The sequence below is a fragment of the Homo sapiens genome, chromosome 10, assembly GCF_000001405.40.
Source record: "Homo sapiens chromosome 10, GRCh38.p14 Primary Assembly".
Classification (NCBI taxonomy): domain Eukaryota; kingdom Metazoa; phylum Chordata; class Mammalia; order Primates; family Hominidae; genus Homo; species Homo sapiens.
The window spans coordinates 124,131,214-124,154,865 of NC_000010.11; the positions used below are offsets into that span (position 1 = coordinate 124,131,214).

The window sequence follows — 23,652 nt, forward strand, 5'->3', positions numbered from 1 at the left end:
CCTACAAATAATATTTTTTTCACTCCCAAGGAACTTCTGAGGGGAGGCTCAGCCTACGTGGGGCGAGGCCAGGCTGGGGCAGCCTGAGAAATGAGCCGCATTCCATCCCCTCTCCCAGCAGATCATCCTTCTGAGACTCCCGCCTGTCAATACCAAGTCACTCTCGGGGCAGCGGGCCATGTATAATTGACGAGCTTTCTTCTCTCTGGTGGAGCCCTAAGACATCCATGGCCATAATGCAGGATATTAAAAGCTTCCTGGGAAGACACGGCTCTCATCTCCAAGAGGAGTAATTAATGTCACAAAGGGGTTTCCAATGATGATTCCTGCTTCAGCTTTGATTTCCTCCTACAAATCCCCCTGAGATACTCCTAGAAGCACCTAAGCCTTTCCTATGTGTGTCCTCCGAGGAGTCCCATCCACTTACATCTGTTCCAGGGATTGTTAAAGAAGGAGTCCCACTTTGCTAGGATCCAGGCCTGTGTCTAGGTGCAATGCAGGGAGGGAGACAGCCATTGTCCCAAAAGCATACCCCACCCAAAGGCCTTGCCTGGGTTCTCCCAGAGGGCTGGGCCACCATTTCTCCCTCTCCACTCCCTTTTTATAAAGAGTGATTCTTGGTCTCCAAAGGGGAAGCGATGTGAAACTAGACTGCCCGACTCTGAGGCTGGAGGAGCAGGGGTAGCCGGTTCTCGCCACCAGGGAGCAAAGCTAGGATGCAGCCTCAGTGCGATTCCCAGCCAGGGCGCCCCACTCTTGCAGCAGCCAAGAGAAGTAGGTCACTGGTTTTACAGGTGTGCTACCTGAGCCCCAGAGATGCTAGGCATCCTATACAGTGTCACACGCACTCACAGGAATAGCAGGGCCAGGACTAAGCCGTGTTCTCCAAATGCCATTCCCCTCTCCCTGCCCTAGGAGCTGCCAGATCACTATGAACAAATTCATCTCCTGCTGAGCACCTGCCACCCCTCCTAGAACCTTCCTGGGGGGAGCTGGGAGGCACTGCCTCTTCCTTGGAGTGGAGGGATGAAGAAAAGAGGGACCCCACAGTCTCTGTGCACAGTCCAAGCCCACTGTCATGCACAATGGCTCAGCCCTGAGATGCACAGGGGCCTCAGAGCCTCCACTCACCTGCTGGAGTCAGAGGAAAGTGTAAAGGGACTTTGGAAAATAACCCAGCTGTGGGTGCTACAAGAGAGGCTGCCTTGTCTGAGCAGGAGGGAGGCCCACTGGTCAGGGTTCCAGCCAAGAAGGCCGCAGCTCAGGACACGTTTTAGGACTGGCTTAAGACCTGCTTTGTGAACAGGGAAACCGAGGCAGCCACCCAGGAATGCAGAGCACCCTGATGCTGTGGGATGGTGGAAAGGCCTGGTCACCCAGGGCTCATGGCTAGCACATCAGAGGCAGGACAGTCACATGCTCCCAGGTGCTGCCCCATTGTCTGGGGGGCGGGGTCTGAAGCCTGAGGGACAGGCACCAGCGACCCCATTGCAGGGCAACAGGACGGGCAGGTAGAAAGCTCCTGTTCCTGCTCCCCTTCCCCTGCTTGGCTTTCCCATCTGTCATTCACTCCTCTCTCAGCCTCCCTCATGCTCCCAGATTCCAGGTCACCGTCAGGCATATGCTATGTGGTCCAGTCCCCAGAGGACAGAGATGAACCCAGAAAGCAGGAAAATAGCGAGGGGTGATAGGAGCCTGGGGGTCACGAGCAATGGGATAAGAAGATAAAGAAGGAATCCAAGTAGCTCAAAAAAATGAAGTCAGGAAAAAAGTCTTTTGAAATAGCGTCATTGATAGCATTGCACTCAACATCCTGGGACCTCCCTGCAGATGCTTGGGTGGAAGCCGTTTCTACACTTTTTCTCCTGTCACTTAGCCAGATCTCTCCAGAGTCACTGATATTTCTAGTTAGCCTCAGGCTGAGGCTTGGAAGTTCCTGGATATTAAAAATTAACATGGGCATGTGCGCTTTTCTTAAAGCAAGAACAAGCTAAAGTAGAGAATTTAAGAAGTCAGCTACTGTGTGATCATTTTTCCTGCCCCATGGTTCAAGGGTTTGACATTTTCATTCATTCACTGCACAAATGTTTATCGAGCTATGTGCCTGGCTTGGTTTTGAAGGTAATGGCACCACTTAAAGCTGCTTGGGTACTTCTACATATTTTTAGCATTTGTACACTTCCCAAACCACCAGTTGCTTTAATCCCACAATTTTTCAGGGGAAAAAACAAAAGCATTGTTCCGGCATGAAATACCTGCACAGGGCCAGCCTGGGCAAAAAGGAGAGTAGAGAGTCGGTGGTCACCTGTGGTTACCAACACTGGATCTCTCTACCACGGGGCAGGGGCTGGTGTAGTGGGAAGGGGAGGGGGGCATCTAGCAACCCCACAATAAGCAGCACATGGCAGTTGGAAATCCCTTTTGAAGTTTTGTTTTAGTAGAGGAGAGCTCTGTTATTTTCAATATGCATAATACTTACGGAGAGTATCTGAAAGAAATTAGCAGATTCTCAGGTTTTAGAAACCCATACTTGCAAAACGTGAGTAAATAATCCAACAAGGTATTGCTATCATTCAGGTGTTTTAAACATTTGTTTTTCTTACTCCCATACATGCTGGCTTCCCTCGTGAAGCACTAGTCAAACGACGCAAACGCCCAAGCCCGTAAACACATTTCTGATTATCTGAGGAGGGCTGCATGAAGCAAACTGGCAGAAAATGTCACTTGGACACCTCTAGGAAATGAAGAAACATGGACCTGCCCAGTTAATTTCCAATGCTGTCACTGTTTTGATGACACATCTCAGAGGAGGACGTTTTTCTCCCTTGCAGAGTGTAAATCAACCCGTTAGTCCTACGAAGCTCCCTGAGACAAGGTAGCAAATGTTTCTGCCATTTAAACACTGCCACTGGATGGCCAGAGGAGTGTCCCCGGTGCCTTAGAAGGAGCTACACACTGTCTTTGGACACCCCATGACATCTGTGTGGCTGTCTTCTCAACAAGGTTGGCTGTGTCCTGCTGTCAGCAAGAAGCCCAGGTGATTGGCAGCAGGAGCTGACCCTTCCCTCAAGTTTGGTCACTACTCAGATCTGTCTCCAGGGCCCTGAGCCAGGGAGGACCCAGGCCAGCTCAAACACCACATCCACCTTTCCATCCACAGGGCATGGCACATCCAGGCTGGGCAACATTGATGGGAGCACACCCCCTGGCCCACTGCCAGACCACACACCCACCCCTTTGCTGGGACTGCCCGGGCCTGGATCTGCCTCGAATGAGAATAACTCCAGTCTGCCTCTCCGTCCGGATTAAAACGCCTCAAAGAGGGGGTCTTCCACGCAACCTGTAACCCACTGCCAGGCACGGTTAGTGTTTGTTGAATAGATGTCAGCCAACTGCATGATGAACTTTGTTTCTTCCAGCCAACAAACGGCAATTTTCAAATGTTTTTCAGCTCTTACTCTTGATTTCTTCTACCTAACAGGTAAACAAACATTTGTGGAGCATCTCTAATGTGCCAGGCCTGGTGCCATGCTGGAAATGGGGAATGAATAATTCATGATCTCTTCCTTCAAGGAGCTCAGAGTCACATGGATGAGACAAGAGGTGAGCAGATTGTTTCCATGGGGTGCTCTGTCCCACTCGCTCTTTCCCATGCTTCAGGTCCAAGCCCCAGAGGACCCCTTCAGAGAGAGCATCCTATTTAACACCAGGTTTCCTGCTATCTTTATCAAAGCACCTATTGATTTATTTCATCAATAGCTATAATTTCTATTTATTTGATTATTTACCTATGTATCACTTGTGTTCCACCAGATAATAAACTCCACAAAAGCAAGAATATTGTCTATTTCGTTCTTCTTTGTAATCCTAGTACCTAGCACCTAGTAAGTACTCCATAAATATTTCCTAAAGAAGGAGTGTGTGCAGTGACATCTCTGACTGCTGAATTAAAACTTGCAGCCTTGCCTGTCCTGACACTCCTTGGACCCCTTCTTTGCTGTGCTTTTTCCTCCAGTAGTTGTCATACAAGTCATTCATGTATATTGTCTACTGACGGCCCTTCCACTCACTAGGATGTACATTCTGTGAGAACAGGGAATTTTTCTATTTTGTTCACTGGTTTTCCCCAGCACCTAGAACAGTACATATAGTAGATGCTCAATAAATATTGTATGAATGAATGAATGACAATACAATGTAGAAGTTAGTAGGAAGATAATTTAGTCTATTATGGGCAGGGGATGTCACAGAAGACTTCCTGCAGGATACTGCACCTGAGCTTATTCTTTATTCTTTTTTTTTTTTTTCCAAGATGGAGTATTGCTCTGTCACCCAGGCTAGAGTGCAGTGGCATGATCTCAGCTCACTGCAAATTCTGCCTCCCAGGTTCAAGCAATTCTCCTGCCTCAGCCTCCCAGTAGCTGGGATTACAGGCTTGCACCACCATGCCTGGCTAATTTTTGTATTTTTAGTAGAGACAGGGTTTCACCATGTTGGCCAGGCTGCTCTCAAACTCCTGACCTCATGATCCGCCCGCCTTGGCTTCCCAAAGTGTTGGGATTACAGGCTTGAGCCATTGCGCCCGGCCAAGCTTATTCTTAAGTCCTAATGAACACAGTGACCAAAGCTGACTCAGGAGGAAATAGAAAACCTGAACAGTTCTATGACCACTAAACAAATTAAATTAGTTTCCACCAAAAACTGCAAGGCCCAGATGGTTTTACTGGAGAGGTCTACCAAACTTTTCATTCCAACTTATGTAAACTCTTTCAGAGACTAGAAAGGGTGAGACCATTTTGTGAAGCTAGTGTAACCTTGGTAATTCAACCAGGTAAAAGCATTTGGGAAAGGAAAATCTCTGGCTAACATCTCTCAGAAGTATGTATGCAAGAGTACTAACAGGACATTAACAACCCAAATCTACCAAAGCCTATAAAATAATAATACATCATCATCAAATTGGGTTATTTGAGAAATAAAGATGGTTTATTATTAGTAAGTTATTGGTAATTTCACTATATTAAGAGATTAGAGGCAAATATTGGCATCTTATTAATGACAGAAAATGACATTAGATAAAATTTAACCCTCATTCATGATAAAAGTTCCTGGCTATTTAGAAAAATATGGTACTTTACTTAATCCAACAGAATAAATTTAAAATAGCTACATAAACATCATATTTGATGGTAAAGCACTGAAAAACATTCCTTTTAAAATTATAAAATAGGCAAGAATATCTGAGATCATTGCTTTTATTCAACCAAAAAAGTTGACTCATTTGGAAGGGGGAAGGGTTGACTATTAGATAAATGGTGCTGGGAAAATTGGCTATCCACATAACAAATAAACTGGATCCCTACCTCAGATTATATGGGAGAAAAAAGACAAAAAGCATAAATCATAAAAGAAAAAAATAGAACAATTTAAGTAAATAAAAAAAATTTTGCTAATCAGATACAAATAATACAAAAATGTTTTGTCAAACAAAAAAAGGCAAACCACAAACAGGGAAAAAATACTTGCAATATATCACCAACAACAAAAAAAAATTGCCAGCCATAGGGGTGCATGCTTGTAGTCCCAGCTCCTAGGAAGGCTAAAGTGGGAGAATCCCTTGAGTCCAGGAGTTTGAGGCCAGACTGGGCAACACAGCAAGACCACCATGACCCTGCATCTCTTTTAAAAAGATTATCCAAAATATATTTCAAATCACTAAAAAATTATTAGAGGCAAAACAGAAATAGAGACAAAAGTTATACACAGGCATTTCACAGAAGAAGAAATACAACAGTCTGCCTATAATCGGGAAAATATCAAGTCAAAACTACAATGGGATTCCATTTTACATCCATTTACTGTCAGAATTTGTAAACCTGTCAATAGAAAAGGTTAGGCAACCATGTAGACTGAAGAGAAATGTTTTATATACCACTGACCAGCATATAAACTGCTCTATTTTAACAAATTATTTGGCAACATACGGTAAAACTGAAGATATGCTGGGCCTATGAGTTGCACTTCCATTTCTGCATGATACCCTCGAGGAGCTCTTGTCCATGTGCAAAGGAGATGTGGTTAGCAGTGTGCACAGCAGTAGGTTAATAATAGCAAAAACAAATGTCGTATGAGAGAATAAACACACACACTCACAGAAACACACACACACATTTAAATACTGTACTTTACTGAAAATGGGTGTGAACTGGAGCTCTATGCATTAACACAGAGCACCTCAAAAACATGATAGAGGGCAAAAATGGCAAGTTATAGGAGAATATAGAGAGTATGATATCATTCACATAACATGTGAAAGCATTTTAAGCAACAGTGCATACTGCTTAGAGATGCACGCATACATTCACGTACAAAGATCATTATAAAAAGGTAAAACACAAGATTCAGAATGATGGTTACCTGGGAGCAGTAAGGAAAGGATTAGGAAGGAATACACAAAGAGCTTTAACCATGTTGATACACTTTGTTTCTTAAGCTTGGTAGTGTATTCTTTATATCCCTTGGATACCACATACTTTATTGAAAAATTGAGGAAAAAAAGGAATGTGTTAGCATCAGATGAAGGAGGAAGAAAGGAGTCTTCTAGGAGGGAACAGAAGCATAAGCAAAGATACTGGGGGGTAAACCAGGAGGTAGAAGGGGAAGACCACAAGAAACATGGTGTTTAAAGCACACATCGAGGCCGGGTGCAGTGGCTCACACCTGTAATCTCAACACTTTGGGAAACCGAGGCAGGAGAATCACTTGAGCCCAGGAGTTTGAGACCCACCTGGGCAATATAGTCAGACTTCATCTCTACAGATAATTTTTGTTTTAATTAGCCAGGTGCCTGTAGTACCAGCTATTCGGGAGGCTGAGGTGGGAGGATCACTTGAGTCCTGGAACTCAAGGCTACAGTGAGCCGTGATCACACCACGGCACTCCAGCCTGGGAGACAAAAGTGAGACCCTGTGTAAAATATATATATATATATAAAATCAAATTAAATAAAGCACACACCAAGAGAGGGTGGCTAAAGTTAGGCATCAGAGGTTATTGGAGAATAGACCCTAAGTAACCTGGCGTGCAGTGCTGAGGAGCCAGGAAATTGTCCTGAAGCCAGTGGAACTTATTAAGGGTATTAAGTGGGTGGGTGATTCAGTCCTCCAAGCATTTGAGAAAGTCCACTGTGGAGGAGAGATTGAGGGGAATGGGGCAGAGGAGAGGGTGTTCTGGAAGCAGAAAAGCCAGTGAGACACAGGAGAAAGGTCTGGACCAAAAAGTGAGGGGGCCCCAAGGAGTGCAGTGGCAATGGGGTGAGAGAAGCTGCCCAGATACTTAGTACCCAATGCCTGTTTCAACAGAATCCTAGTGCTGTGGTGTGTCCACACAAAAATGACTGCTCAGCATGTGGCTGCCTTGGAGTTCAAAACACAAAGCCTCCAGCCTTTCCCACGCATTGCTAGAGACAGCTTAGAATGAACTTGGCTGAGTTTTGCTGGCCTCCAATGCCTTAATTACGTATTTACTGGTATTTGGAATGGCTTGTGCAAGCTGCCCATGGTGTCAGGTCATTGCTTAAACTGAATGATGGCTTCTCTGTTCCATTTCTTCCTAATGAGTACACACACTTGAGCACTTAATATAGAGCAATGGCTTTCCAGGACAAATGGCCTTCCAGTAGAACAAAGCACTCTAAGGAGTTAGTGATTTCTGACATTTGTTAGCCAGGCTGACAACTCTGGACAAGGAAATTTGAAATTTTGAGTTGTTTCCAAATTGGCTGAGTTATAATAGTAATTGCAAAGCAAAGTCACGGAATCTCAGATATTTAACATTAAGGCCAACTCTTACTGGCGGGTGAGAATATGAGAACTTGGGACAGAAAGTGCCTGTAACCTAAGGTCACGCATTAGATTAGTGGCATCCAATGACAGAACATAAACATTCACTGAGCACCTGCTATGCACCAAGCCCTCTGCTGGGTGCTGGGGATATAAGGGTGACCACATGTCCGCCATTGAGGAGTCTGCATTCTCGCTGGAAGAGAAAGACAATAAACAAGGAAGCAATTCATGAACTCACCATTTCAGGTACTGGTTAGTGCTGAGAAGGGTACCAGTGGTATAAGACGATGGAAAGAGCCTGGAGCTACTTTTCCCAGGATGGTGAGGGAAGGTTTCTCTGAGAAGAAACTTCAGTCTCTAATCAAGAAAGCAGATCCCAACCAGGCGGTTTAAGAAAAGAATTTTAATATAGAGAACTAGGTCCAAAGGTGCTGGAAGAGAAGAAAGGGCAAAGGACACGGTGAGGCTATCCAGAGATTAGTAACAACAGCAGCTGCTACCAGCCCTAGCTAGAGACAAAGGGAAGGGCTTCCAGAACCCAAGAGAGGGCAACATACAAGGAAGAGTGGCCCAGTAGCATGTGGAACCCAGAGGAGATGGGGCAGCTGCCTGGGATAGTTCCTAAAGCAGAGAGGGGTTTGGGGGAAGAAACATCCTGGCTTCTCCCTTCTCCCTGCCTTCCAACCTGCCATGAACATCTCCCATCAGCTGAACATAACCAGAAACCAAAGGTCAAACATGCCTGGAAAATGCATCTTCCCCAGGGAAATGCAAACTTTTTGCAGAAGCCACCCAGGGATATACAGTAGGGTCAGGGGAAAGTGGAGGCTAGATCTTAGGGCTAACAGGCAAACGGCCAGAACATAAGGTAATGACCGAATCAAGACACGTCTGATAAAAGGAGGGACCCATGCGAGTGCTAGGGGGTAAGAATTCCAGCAAAAGGCACGCAGGGCGGCCGAGGCAGGGTGGGATGCACTGGCTCCCCTCTACAGTTCGGACTCACCTCCGGCACTGGCCACCTCGTTGAGCCTCCTTGTGATTCTCTTTTCCCATATTTTCCAGCTCCTCTCAAGCTTGCCTCTTGTGCCTTCAGAAAACTGCAGGGACCTGATGGAGGTGGAGCTGCTGGGCAGGCAGGGCATTCTCCAGTGTCAGAGCCAATTCCATGGCTCATAATTACACCTTTCTCCATTGATTGACTATTTACCCTGGGAATTGCACAAAAGCTTAACGTGTTCCCACAGCAGCCCGTGATGGAGGCTTCCTTCTCTCTGTTTGACGGATGAGGAAAGAGAGGCTCCGATTCAGTAAATAACTTGCTCAATGGTGCAGAGTAAATGGCAGGGCTAAGATTCCTTTCACTCATTTCATTTCCAAATGTTTAATGAACATCTGTCTATCAAGGTTCAGGCTGTGGAGATAAAATGGTGAACAAAACAAGCAAAGAATATGGTCTTACAGGGAATACAGCTATTAAACAAATAACCATGCTTGTGGTGTGATTATTAAAGAAATTATTTATGCCAAGAAAACAAGAAAGTCCAAAACCATGTTTATCTATTTCTCAAGTATCTCAAGTATAACAATTGATTATCTATTTTGTTAATTTCTGCTCTTGTATTTATCATTTTCTTGCCTGTCTTTTTCTTTTAGTTTTACTTCAAGGTTGTTTCTAGGGACTTCAGTTGAACCCTTAACTTATTTATAACTAAGGCTACACATTTTCCTCTGGGTGCTGCTTTAGCTATATCCCAAAGTTGACTAGACTGTTCTTTTATTTTTTTTTTTTTTTTTGGACAGAGTTTCGCTCTTATTGCCCAGGCTAGACCTCAGCTAACTGCAACCTCTGCCTCCTGGGTTGAAGTGATTCTCCTGCCTCAGCTTCCAGAGTAGCTGGGATTACAGGTGCCTGCCCCAACACCCAGCTAATTTTTTCTATTTTTAGTAGAGACGAGGTTTCACCATGTTGGCCAGGCCGGTCTCAAACTCTTGACCTCAGGTGATCCGCCCACCTCGGCCTCCCAAAGTGCTGGGATTACAGGCATGAGCCACTGTTTCTGGCCATGTTATTTTATTCTTTAGTTCTAAATATTTTATAATTCCCCTGATTACCTCTTTCACGCATGAGTTATTGGGCAACATTTTAAAACTTCTGTGTCAGTCCATTTGGGTTGCTGTAACAAAATCCCATATGCTGGCTGGCTTATAAACAACAGAAATTTATTTCTCACTGTTCCGGAGGCTGGAAAGTCCAAGATCAAGGTGCTGGCAGAGACAATGTCTGAGAGCCTGATTTCTGAGTTATAGATGGCACCTTTTTGCTGTGCCCTCACATGTTAGAAGATGTAAGAGGTCTCTGTCAAGCCCCTCATATGGGCACTGGTCCCATTCATGAGGGCTTCACCCTCTTGACCTAATCACCCCCCCAAAGCCCCACCTCCTAATCCTATCACCTTGAGGGTTAGGATTTCAAAATACAAGTTTTGAGGGGACATGAACATTCAGACAATAGCAACTTCCAAACATGCTTTTTATCTTTTTCCTGTTGATTTTTAATGTAATCGCTTGTGCTCACAGAGAGCGTTAAGATAATGTTAATTTGTTGGTATTTGTTGAGACTTTAGTCAAGATTTACTGCATGATACATTTTTATAAACATCTGTATATTCTTAAAAATTATATACCTATATATTGGCTGCATGGTTATTTCTGTATTCTTTCATAAAATCTAACTTAATTCATTATTTGTACCACTTTTATTGTCTGCTTGATCAATAGAGCTGTGTTAATCTATGAATGTGGATTCCTCAAGTTCTCTTTCTATTTCTGTTTTCATCTTACATATTTTGAGTTTTTTTTTTTTTGCTTTAAAGTTCAATATGTGTCATATTATCACAGAGCCCCTTGTTCAAAAATTATTTAGAATTTTGAGACAATCCTAGCAGAACTTTAAATCAAGCAGGAGGCCTTTCTAAGCCCAGAGCCCTGTGCCCACCCATAAAGCTGGCCATGCTTGGGTCCCCTGGGGTGAGGACTGGTTGAAGGAGTGGACACCAAACTGTCTTATGACCTTTAGAGAAATCATGTAAAGTTCATGCCTACTTGGTGGGCGCATGACCAGCATCAATTTCATGCAAGGGTTGGGAGGTTGGGGACCAGTTAGTAACACTGAGTCATTTCATATAACTCACTGGGTGCACTTTGCAATTTTAAAAATGTAAGCTCCTGAAAGCTTTTAATTTTCCCATTTACTTTTGGCTGTGGATTTTGCCTCAGCTGAAATGCAAAAGCCTGAGGATTATCTATTTAAAGCTATCGTCCAAGCTTTACAGTAGGCAAATGCTGTGTCCAGTGTGGAGGTTTACAGATGACAGTTTAAAGAAAAGTCTCGGTTCTGATGCAGCTGTCTTTGGTTAGCACATTGGAAAGTGTGCTTACCCTCGGAAAGAAACCTCTGGGGGCTAAGAAGTAAGTGGTTTCTGCTTCTGGGGTTTTGTTCAGAAACCCAGAAAGGCATAAATAGCATCGTTCCAGAAACATTCCTGCCTGGCCCTTTGATCTTGGCCTGGCAGCCATTGCAGGGTGTGCCGCCCACCCACCCTTTGTGGGCTCAGTCAGTACAGGGTTACGTGCAGCCCTTCAGAGCTGGGGTGGCCATAAAACCAACTAGTGCAACTCCTCAAATCATAGCAGAGGCCCAAGAGGGCAGGTGCCTTGCCTAAAGGCACAGCAAATCAGTTGCAGAGCTGGGGGTCTTCCTCCTTCAACCTCTGCCCCTTGGCCATCCCCCAACTCAACTGATTATCTGCTGAAACATGAAGTTGGCAGGTTTTTGTTGTTGTTATTGTGTTTTACCAAGGCACTGATCACCTGAACTTCTTGCTCGGCCAGTCTTTATTCCCAGCCACTGACACTAGAGATATGCTCAGGTAAGGCCACCAGAGGCCGGGGTCGAGGGATAGGGAGATGAAGGAGTCGTTACTTCCTCTTTCTGATCTCCTTTCCATAGACTCACCCAGTGAGAAACCTAAAACAGCAGCAACTTGTGAGTCAGGGATGTGTGTCTCATCCAAGCCTCCACCCAGGTCTCGAGGCCCTGCCCCAGCATCCCTGTCTACCAGCTGCCCATCCTGCTTGGATACAGCCAGTAACAGGGAGCCCACTCCCACAGTGGGGCTCAGGCCACCGCCCTCAGCTCTGTCCCCACACATCCCCTGTCAGTGTCACAGAGACCATAACTGAGTCATCCTTTTAGAGGTCCCTCTCTAGGAGAGCGTGAACTTGAGGAACTGAGGAAGATGGCACCATGCCCTCTTCACGGCTTTATCCTAACTCCTGGTTCAGAGATGTTGCTTACAACAGAATACCTGAAACTGGGGGATTTATAAAGAAAAGGAATTTATTTCTTACAGTTTTGGAAGCTGAGAAGTCCAAGATTGAGGGGCTGCATCTGGTGAAGTTCTTCTGGCTAGTGGGGACTCTCTGCAGGGTCCTGAGGCAGCCCAGGGCCTCACATGGGCTGAGCACGCCAGCTCAGGTCTGTCCTCCTCTTCTTAAAAAGCCACCAGTTCCACTCCCACAGTAACCCATTAATCCATTCACCCATAATCCATGGATAGATGAATCCATTCATGAAGGCAGAGCCCTCATGACCCATTCGCCTCTTAAAGGGCCCATCTCTCAATATTGCCACATTGAAGATTAAGATTCAACATGAGTTTGGAGGGGACAAATATTCAAATCATAGCAGTTGCATCACACACATTTCACTAACAAATAGTTATTGCTGTTTCCCCCAACCTCCAGTCCTCATTTGTCACGTCTCTGGGCCTCAGAGAACATTCGATTTTCCACAGGAAAGTTCACGGAGCATTGCAAGAGCGTTTGGTGGCCCTCTGAGTCATCTCTTCTCCTCACGGGACATCCCAGCATCTTCATGGATCCTCAGAGGCACGGGGGGCCACCCTGACCACCCTCCTCAGAGTGAACCTCTGTCTATGTGTCCTTCTTCATATGTGGTGGCCAGAAACCAGATCATGTGCACAGAACAGACAGGCTCTGGTACCATTGTGTGTGTGTGTGCCTGTGTGTATCTATGTCTGTGTGTCTTTGAATGTGCCCATATATGGGAGTTTGTGTGTGTGTCTTGGTGACTATGTAAGACTGCATGTGTGAATGTGAGAATGTGTGAGTCTGTGTATTAAGTGTGTGTATGTATGTGTGTGAGTTTTTATAAATATATGAGAGTGGGTATGTCTGTGTGGATGTGTCTGTGTTTGTATGAATGTGTTTGAGCACGTGTGTGTGTCTATGTGTCTGTGTGAGTATGTGTGAGAGAATGTGTAAGAGTGTGTCTGTATGTCTATGTGGTGTGTATGTTTGTGTGTCTTTATGCAAGAGTCTGTGTGTGTGGATGTGGATGTATGAGAATATGAGTCTGTATGAATGTGACTGGCTGTGTGTTGTGTGTGCACATCTGGTTGCCTGTTGGTCTCTGAGTCCTCTCCCAATGTCCCTCAGAGGGAAGACTGATGGGGCCACTCTATGGACGGCCCGTGTGAGGAGACCCCTCAGCAGCCCTGAGTGAGGGCCTGGCACCCGGGAAGTGCTCGGCAGCTGTGAGCCATTACCGTATCAAGATTTGTGTGTATTTAGTGACAAAGGCCCCTGTTGCGTTTCTATTTCCTGCAGGAAGAGTGATTGCAAAGTGGGGACCTGGAGGCAGCCAGCGGGGAGTCCTGAGAAGTACAAGACCCAGAGGTCTATTCAGAGAGAAACCAAACAGTCCAGAGACGTGGTGGCCACATTCCCCTCAGCACTGTGAGAAACAACTCTGTTTTACAGATGGAGAGAGGAAATGGAATCCCGGCACATGGAGTGAGGGCAGAAATAAAGATACATCACCCCGCCCTTCAGAAATCAGGGGAAGGGTGGTGCCAGGGAGTCCTTTCAAAGGCCTGGGATCACCACATGCAGGCAGGACCATGCCACATCTCCCCGCCTTTGGGTGGTCTCGACAATGCTACAGGGCCTATGTTACAGACGCAGAAAGCTCAGAGGGGTTAAATGACAACTCGGTCACACAGAGCTCCATCAGCAGTGCAGCCGGAACTCACACCCAGGTCTGCTGACTCCAGGACCAGTGTTCTGGGCCCCAGAAGCCCCCGTGGGACTTCCTGTGCACACTACCCAACAAAATGAAAACATCCTCAGCTGTCCCTGTGTGTGAGGCAATTCACATCCTGCTGCCAAGTGTTGCCACCAAATCTCTCTAAATTGGGCAATTAGCAGCATGATTTGTGAAATGAGGAACAGGATATGCTTTGACCCCTTGAACTTCTTCCCCACTGAACTCTCCAGTTCTAGCTGAGCTTTTAGTTTTAAACGTGGGAGTGGGGTGGGGCAGGAGAAATTTCCTTAAACCAGCGTTTCTGCCAATAGCCACTTCCTGGGGAACCATCTCTACCTGGATGGTTGAGGTTTCAAAACTAGATTCCAGCAAAATGAAGACAAGGCAAACTATGAACTGGAAAAAGTCAGTAGACCACTCACCGCCAAGGGTTGAGAGTCTTAATAGAAAAGTGTGCTTAGAAGATGACAAGCAGGAAAGCAGGCCAAGCGTATGAGTGGGCGACCTCCAGTGAAGAGATGCGAATGGTCATCCGCACAGGGAAAAAATATCAGCCTCACAATTGCTACATAGAGCATGTGGGAGCCCATGGATTCGGACAGAGCTCCCACACAAGGCCCAAGGCCTCACCAAGATGAAGTTACATGTCACCCAACTGAAGTTATCTGACACGCTGAGAAATTGGGAGAGAGACAATAGCCAAATTCCCAAACAGTCCAGTTTTAGCCAGCATCAGGGAAGTCCTGTCTGCTTTAACCCTATAAGGAAAGTCACCACAAAGTGATCAAACTGTTCTTTGTTTCTGTTTCTTTAGCCCTTTTCTGCCTGTAAAGTCTGCCTCCTCTGTTCCACCCATAGGAGCTCCTTCCTATTACAAGAATGGGATGCTTCCCCGTTCATGAACCACAAATAAAAGCCAATTTGATCTTTAAACAAAATTTGTTGAAATTTTGTTAACACCATTAAAAAAAAAAAAAAGGCAAATTAAAACAGTAGGATGTCATTTTTCTCCTAATAGATCAACAAAGATAAGACCTAGCCCAGTGAGGAAGCGAAGAAATGAGATCTCCCTAGATTAATGCTGGGGTTGAAATTGGCACAGTCTTTCTGAAAGGCCTTTAAGATGTGGGTAAATTTGACCCTGTAACTATTTTTAGACTTTATCCTGAGGGAATTGGTCAAGATGTAGGTGGAGATGAATATACAAAGATATTTATTGTGTTGTTACCTATAATATTGGGAAATCTGGAAAAAATACCCTAAATGTCCACTAATAAATTACTACTCAGGAAAATTACAGTAAACCCATATGAAGCGATACAACGCCACTGTTAGTCATTCCATGGCAGTGGAATCTTTGACTCCAAGTCCAGTGTCCTCCCACAAAGAGAGGCTGCCTCTCAAGTCTGTCCAGAAAGTGCCTCCACCTTCCAATGGCTGTGAACAGCTGGGGAAGTGTCAGTGGCTAACTCCCATGAAATGGTGAACATGAGGTTCAGGGCTGGGAAGAAGAGCAGGGGATGTGGGCCAGAATGTTTCACTAGCATCCAATTTGAAGCCACATGTTTCCAAATATGAGGCTAATTAAATAACTCCATCATGTACTTGCATATTTTACCCTTGTTTACTTCATTGTCAACCCCACCCCGCCATTCTGAATAGGTTTTATGGCCCATGTGGAGAATAGTGTGAAGAGAGGCCAAAAGTCTTGATTCTCTGACACCTATCAGCTGTGTGATCGTGGACCACTCAGAACCCAGGCACCTCCTCTGAAATAGCCCCTGGCTAAGGGCCTGGTCTATGCAGGTGTTCACCAAGTGGCTGACATTGCTAGTGGCTGGTTTCCCCCTCTACTTTCTTCCCTAGCAGCCCTCTGACTCTTGGGGGCTCCATGATTTTCAGCAGCAATAGCATCCCAGAAAGCTGGGGGAGAGAAGTTTTAAAAGTCCAGGGAAGTTCGGGTAAGCAAAGACCACCCTTTTCCTCCAGCCAGTGGGGCTCCCTGCTCTTTGAGAGTTCTAAGCACTTGCATGCTGTGCTACCTTGTAGTAGGGGCTGCTGGTGCCTCTCCCAGGTCTCCTCTCTCTACCTGCTTTTGCAGGCAGCACCTGGAAGCTGTGAGGCTGGCCTGCTAACAGCTCACAGCCTTCCCCACCTCCAGAGAGGTGAAGCTTTACCTGGGAGGCTATGCCCACTCATAGGCCAAGGCCAGTGCAGGAAGGACCCATGGAAGGAAGGATAGATGGGCCTCCCACTCAAGGTGACTTCAACACTGTAATCAGCTCATACCCCACCACCCCCACCCCAAGCTCCCCAAGCTCTGGAGCTCTCCAGCCCACCCCACCACCTCCTGGGGTTCAGGCAGAAACAGGTCTCCAGCAGAGGCCACCCCTTTGCTTAGCTCCTTTCCTGCCCATCACTCTTCCCTGAGAGCTCCTTTCCAATAAACCACTTGAATAAGTCTCTGTTTCAGGCTCTGCATCAGGGAACCTGCCCTAAGACCAGCTTCAATTCAACTTTCCCGGAATTTCCTGGACACTTCCCCTGCAAGACGCCCTGCACCAGAGCTGGGTGATGAGAAGTCCCAGAGTCATTCTTGGGGTTTCTGTTCCCTGACTATAGTGTCCAAGATGGTCAGAGCTGGAACAAATGGTAGATAACATCTAGTTCAGGGTTTCCTGAGCATGCTCTGAGGAACATTAATCCCAGACTGGTGGGGGAAAAGGGAATCTGCCTGCAAATGAATGTAAGGAATTCTGGATTAAAAGTTAAGTGGAGCTCTTTACTGTAGCCCTGCCCATAGCCTTTAATATTCAAATGAGACCTAGAATTTTAGGGCTGTGTTTCTCAACCTCAACGCTATAGACATTTGGGACTGGATGCTTCTTTGCTATGGAGCCATCCTGGGCATTATGGGATGTTAGCAGCCTCCCTGGCCTCCACCTCCTAGATGCCATAGCATCCTCCCACCTTATGACAACCAAAAAATGTTTCCAGCCATTGCCAAGTAGCCCCAGAGGGGCAAAATCAGCCTGCCCCAAGTGAAGGATGTTATTCACTAGGTTCTTTTTTTTTTTTTTTTTTTTTTTTTGTAACATCTCTTAATGTCTCTCAGAACTAGAATTCTGCAGGGCACTATTTGAAAACCACTGATCAAAACCAACATCCATTTTACAGTTGAACAAACTGAGTCCTTGAAAGAAGACAGGGTCTACCCACAAAAATTAAGAGGATCCACAGCAAATCTGAAATTCAAACCCACGTCCTCAAGGAAATGAAATTTCTTGAGGGCCTTCCAAAGTAGCCCAGGGTGAAGGCCTCAGGAAGAGCCCAGTGCAGAGTGAGAGTTGACCCATCATAACTAGGGGCCCCATTTGGTTAAGGCTGTTTTATCTCCCCAGTGATCTGATCCTTTTATTCACTTCCAGGAACAAGACTGTGCTGATGTCAGAGGCATGTGAACCAGAGCAACTCCATCTTGAATAAGAGCTGGGTAAAATGAGGCTGAGACCTACTGGGCCACATTCCCAGACTGTTAAGGCATTCTAAGTCACAGGATGAGAGGAGGTCGGCACAAGATCAGGCAATAAAGACCTTGCTGATGAAACAGACTGCAGTAAAGAAGCCGGCTAAAGCCCACTAAAACCAAGATGGCCACGAGAGTGACCTCTGGTCATCTTCACTGCTACACTCCCACCAGCACCATGACAGTTTACAAATGCCATGGCAACGTCAGGAAGTTACCCTATATGGTCTAAAAGGGGAGGCATGAATAATCCACCCCTTGTTTAGCATATCACCAAGACATAACTATAAAAATAGGCAACGAGCAGCCCTCAGGGCTGCTCTGTCTATGGAGTAGCCATTCTTTCATTCCTCTACTTTCTCATTCAACTTGCTTTCACTTTACTATTGACTCACCCTGAATTCTTTCTTCCGTGAGATCCAAGAATCCTCTCTTGGAGTCTGGATCGGGACCCTTTTCCTGTAACACTGAGGGTCTTTCTGATAGATACCTTCCCGTAGTTATGGAGGAATGGTGGTGAATACATGGGGGAGGCAGCACAGAAATGCTCGAGAAGCCAAAGAAAGCAGCCCTGGAGCCCTCTCCGAGCCGACACGGGGGCATCCATTCTGCAGTCCCAACGCATTCCACTCTTAATCTCCACGTGAGATGCGACAGCCGTGCCAGGCTGTAAGCACACACCTGTAGCTTTGTGTTCCAGCACAGAGGAGCATGCCACAATTTTCAATTATGAGAAAGCTTTAACTCAAATCCCAGGAGCGGAAAACTCATTAATTTATTCAATCCAGCCTCCCTTGCTTCTTGCTAGGTTTTGAAAATTGTCACATGTGTTTGCCTCCACCCCACGTCCCCAATCCAAGACTGTTCTTTTTGAAAACAGCAGGGTTTTCCTTAACCTACCTTGGAAACGATGTCCCAGGAAAAGCCGGCATCTAATTCATTTCACGTGCTAAACTATTACAATCGAAAGGCAAAATCTCTACTGTGCAGCTTTAAAAACATCTGTTTTTCTCTTTACTTTGGGGGATAATTATCCTAGCTCCTATTGTGGCTGCTAATTACGAAGCTAAACCAACCTGCTGAAGGGCTGGCAAGAGGAGGGTTCTTTTCAAAGCATTTCCCCCAGAGCATTAAATCATCCGAAAGTGGAAGCAGAAAATGCACCAGCACCAGCCTCCCCACCACCTGCTCCCAGGCCTGGCTGACAGGGGCCCTGCAGGAACCTCAACCTCAGGGAGTAGGGGGTGGGGAGGGGAGATTTCATTTAACCAAACTGCTGGATGTGAATTTTTTTCCTTTTTCCATGAACAAATAATTGATCTGACTGAGAAGTTTTACTTTTTACAGAGACCAGACCCAGCCAGGATTCCAGAAACTTAACAAACCATATTTTATGTCAAAGAGAGAATAAAAAACAAAGTGTTTACTATTTCTTAAGATTTTATCCAAAGCCGGAAGTAACATCATTTAAAAGATGACTCTGTAGTAAATCCTCTTAAACCAAAACTAAGATTTTCTTTGCTAAAAGAATGCAATTTGAACCAAAAACAAAGAATGTTTATTCATTCATTTGTTTGACCTTTTGTGAGTCTCAGTCCCACAGTAGGTACTGAGGACAGGATAGCAGCGAGGCAGGGGCAGCCCCTGTCCTCACACAGCTCAGAGTAGGGCTGGGAGGGGGTGAGTACTCCAGAGAAGAAGGCAGGTGACTCTGAGCTGGACCAAGAAGTGTTCTGATGGGGTGGGATGGGGGCCTGTGAGGCCAGGAGGGTCTTCCCATTCTTGAGCAGTGCCACATGAGGCTTAGAATGAGGCATCTGAATTTTGAGAGGTGAATCAGAATGAGCCCAGGTTGAGAGAAGGGGCAGGTTTGTAAGATTGCTGCAGACAGCGAGAACAGCACGTGCAAAGGACCTGAGGTTAAGTTCAGGGACAGCTGAGAGGCAAGCAGAGCCCAGCCCACCAAGGTGCCTAAAGAGCCTAAAGAGCCAGGCCTTTGTCCTGACAGGGCTGGGGAGCCAGGGAAGGCTCCGGGCAGAGGCGTGACCAGCTCGCAGTCCCGCTTGACATCAACATGCTCTCCATAATGAAATTGAATGAAAACCTATAATGCAAAAAGCATGCTGAGCCCTGACTTCCGGCTGGGCTATTTGGGCACAAGAAAGACCCAGGTCCAGAATCAACCTACGGGCTAGGTGCAGAAACTGCCAACCCAGAGGGAAGCCCCCAAGCCGAGGCAGCTGGGCCTTGAAAGCCAGCACCTCTGAGCAGCCCCCAGACACATCAGTAGCCCCGGTGCGTCTAGAGGATCCCTGTCCCCAGGCGTGGAAGGGGCCACTCACCTGGGAACCACAATGACAGCAGCAGCAACAGCAGCCACACGAACCAGTCTCAAGTCAACCGCCCAAAGGGGCCATGTGCCATGTAGAACTCCACATGTGACAGTGGAGAAATACAACAAGGTCACGAGTGCCTCCAAGCACCTGTCATCGTCCAACTAGGAAAGCGAACCCTTTGTTCATGCAGCTCAGAAATCAAATTTCTGGAAGAGATGCAAATGAGAGAGACCAAGAGAGGGCAAGGAGGCTTTCCTTCACTGGCAGGCAGCGGGAGGGAAGGTAGGAGAGAGGAGGCTAGCCTCATGCTGGGGACAGGCAGCAGCTAGGAGACTGTCACAGAGAGGGGACTCGCACATGAAGAGAAATGCTCAGATGGGAATTTGGGGGAGCTCTACTGTGTCCTGTTGGATTAAGAGACCCCTGCACACATTGTCTTCCACCTGTCTGGGGTCTAACTTGTGTTCTCCTCGGGCCAGTGTATAGACACTGGGCTCAAGGGGGCCCAGGGAGACTGCAGTTATGGGTGCATTTTCCCATTCTATCCTCACAATGAGCCTGTGAAAAGGTGTCATTATCAACCCCACCCCACGCTGGGACAGAGGCTCAGGGAGGCTGGAAAATGGCAGAGGCTCCCCAGCTAGCACAGAAGACCCTGATGGAAACGGGCTGACTCTGGCAGCTAGGCTTACTGAGCAGATAGATAAATGCCCCATCTGTGCAGCTTTGGAGATGAGGGCACCGCCAGGGACTCTGGGTGATCGTGTCTTAGCCAGAGGGAGAGCTCTTAGAAAGGCTGGTACAGGATGGGCAGCACAGGTGATGACGACCACCAAGACAGGGCGAGGCTTTCCCTCTCAGGAAACCAGATCTTCAGAGCTACCCTGCACCACTGCCCCGGGAGCTTCCATCCCTGGACTCAGGGGACGATGAGATGGCCACTTGGTGAAGCCGAAGTCGTCTTTATGGAGCAGGTTGGAACCATCTCCCATGGCAGTCCCAGAGCCAAGGAAACCAGAACCAGGCAAGAAAGAGGCCAGGCCCTGCTCCTGGCTTCCGCTGGGCGGTGGGGGTCCTGGGTGACCTTTCCCTGCCCCACAGGCAGCCCCTTTTCTTCTGCGAGTGGCTGGCAGACTTTGATTTGGGGAAACTGCCTCTGCATAGCCCCTGTCTTGGCGGGACTGTCAGCCAAGGCGTGGTAAGTTGGCCCGAGCCAGGCCGCTGGGAAGCTTTCTCCCTTGCTTTGGGAGCCTAGGCAGAGTTCCTGCAATGCCATCCTCTGAGGGTTTCCTTGGAGCTCCTCCCAGCACAGTCCTGTCTGCTGACTCAGTCCAGAGCTCCGCTGTTTGCTTAAGGCAGCCTGCGGGCCCTGCCCTGCGGCATCGGAGGCCCCCGGTGAGACCACGGGGCACAGCGCCCCTCCAGTCTGCCCCTCCCACTCTTCTTGTCACCGGGGAGCAAGGGGGTCCCTCGCAGGGCCTCTCAGCCCAGACGAGAAAAAGGGCAGAGGAAGCAGAGGGTCGCAGAAGAGAGAGGTGACAGGAGGAAACGCGGGGCGGGTGGCTGCCACGTTTAGTGTCCACCTGGAGTGGGGCCAGCACAGCTTGGGTGTTGCCTCGATCTCTGCGAGATCAGCGTCATTATCCCCAGAGACGGGCATCCAAGCCCCTGTCTAGTCCAAGGCGGAGCCACATTCAAACCCAGTTCAGCCCCTGCACTGCCCACTCTCCCTGAGTCCCCGACACCCACAGAAAGCCCCTGACGTAAATTCAACTCAGCACAGGGCAGTTCAGCTCTGCACCCATGCACCAGCCCCGCGGAGGGCCGGCCCCTGGGCTGGGCACTGAGGTACCGAGTTAGCACCAGGGCACCACCCTTGTGGCCAGGGAGAGGGGCCAGCAATGCCTGCCCTTCCCATTCGTGCCATAGGATCCCCTCAGCTCATCCTCCCAGCAGCCTGTGAGGGCAGAATTACTGGCTCCATTCGAAGCTTAGGGCCTCAGAGTAATCCGCCCACGGTCCCCCAGCGGGGAGATGGCAGTGCCAGGATTTAACTCCACAGGTGTCCTGTTGCCACCCCCTCCTTCCCAGAACAAAACAGATAACACCAGGTGTACCCAACCCCGGGGAACTGTGCTAAGTGTTGTGGTTCTGAGGAGGAAATGACTCAGCAGTCAGGAAGTCTTCCTGGATGAGAAGGCAGTGACCGAGCGGGGAGAATCTCAGCAGCTTCACACAGCCAGGCGGGACACCCCAGCAGAGGAAGGAGAGGCTGGGGAAGAGCAGAGCAGCTGGTGGCCCTGAGTGTGGTGGGAGCCAGAGGGGGGAAACGGTGCTCGTGCCCAGGGCAAGGGAAATAAGAAAGGGGGAGGGAGAGGCAGCACCGAGGGCCTGCGGGCGCTGGGCTGGAAGCACGTCAGCAGGGGGGCCACAAAGGGTGTGGTGGGAGAGGACTGGCCCGTGCTGTGGGAAGTGCTCACACGCACTCACACCCAGTCACACACACACTCATACATACACACAGGCGCGCACACACACACTCATATACATACACCTATACATACACACAGGGACAGGCGCACACACACCCACTCACACATAGGCACAGGCACACACACACACACCTCTACACACAGGCACACTCACCTTTACTCGCACACACTTATACATATGCACAGCCACACTCACACACACACACTTACACACAGGCACACACACATACATACACCTATACATACAGGCACTCACACCCACTCACACACACACATACACACAGGCACAGGCACTCACACCCACTCACACATACAGGCACAGGCACACACATGCACTTACACACAGGTACACTCACCCTCACGCACATGTATACATACTTACACACAAGCACACTCACACACTTATACACACAGCCACACTCACACCCCTCTACATACACACAGGCATACTCGCCCTTACACACACTTATACATACACACAGGCCCACTCTCTCACACACACTCATGTATACACACAGGCACACCCTCACAGACATACTCATAGGCCCACTCACACACACTCATATATACGCACAGGCACTCACACCCACTCTTACACTCATACAGGCACACACACACACCTCTACACACAGGCACACTCACCCTCACTCACACACACTTATACATACGCATAGGTCCACTCACACACACACACACACATAAGCACAGGCACACACACATACAGACACACACAGACACGCTCACACCCACAAACACCTCTACATACACACAGGCACACTCACACCCTCATTCACACATAAATACACATATGCGGACAGCACTTATACATCCTTACACACAGGCACACTCACACATACACCCTTACACACAGGCACACTCACACTTACATGTAGGCTCACCTACACATATATACTCACAGGCATAACCCCCACACACACATGCAGCCACCCCTCCCCCCACACACACATGCACACTCACCCCCACACTCACACATGCATGCACATTCACCCCCCCACACACGCATGCCCACACTCACACACATGCATGCACACTCACCCTCATGCTCACACACACTCGCACACTCACCCTCATGCTCACACACCCTCGCACACTCACCCCACTCACACACTCGCACACTCACCCCACTCACACATGCACACTCACCCCACTCACACACATGCACACTCACCCCACACACATGCACACTCACCCCCCACACTCACATGCACATTCACCCCATGCTCACATGCATGCACACTCACCCCCACGCTCACACACAAAAACACCTCCACACTCACAAACATGCATGCACACTCACCCA

General features: G+C 47.8%; 1 long non-coding RNA gene across 4 annotated transcripts, besides 1 other annotated feature; it reads right to left on the bottom strand.

The window, feature by feature from the left end:
• Positions 1 to 1,758: 1,758 nt before the first annotated feature.
• Positions 1,759 to 20,058, bottom strand: LOC105378536 (uncharacterized). Of its 4 annotated transcripts, none has more exons than XR_007062328.1 (4): positions 12,258 to 12,535; positions 8,851 to 9,258; positions 8,083 to 8,275; positions 1,759 to 4,133 (listed from the first exon to the last, which is right to left on the bottom strand). It is a non-coding gene; the product is annotated as an uncharacterized LOC105378536 (long non-coding RNA). The 4 variants fall into 4 exon arrangements; XR_946428.3 differs by lacking the exon at positions 12,258 to 12,535 and adding an exon at positions 18,404 to 18,645 and having other exon boundaries at positions 2,578 to 4,133; XR_946427.3 differs by lacking the exons at positions 1,759 to 4,133; positions 12,258 to 12,535 and adding an exon at positions 19,846 to 20,058 and having other exon boundaries at positions 4,960 to 8,275.
• Positions 22,122 to 22,381: a silencer, noted in NCBI's record as "silent region_2907". NCBI's record gives its function as "represses an Ori minimal core promoter by ATAC-STARR-seq in GM12878 lymphoblastoid cells {active_cell/tissue: GM12878}" and the evidence as "EXISTENCE:reporter gene assay evidence [ECO:0000049][PMID:35858748]".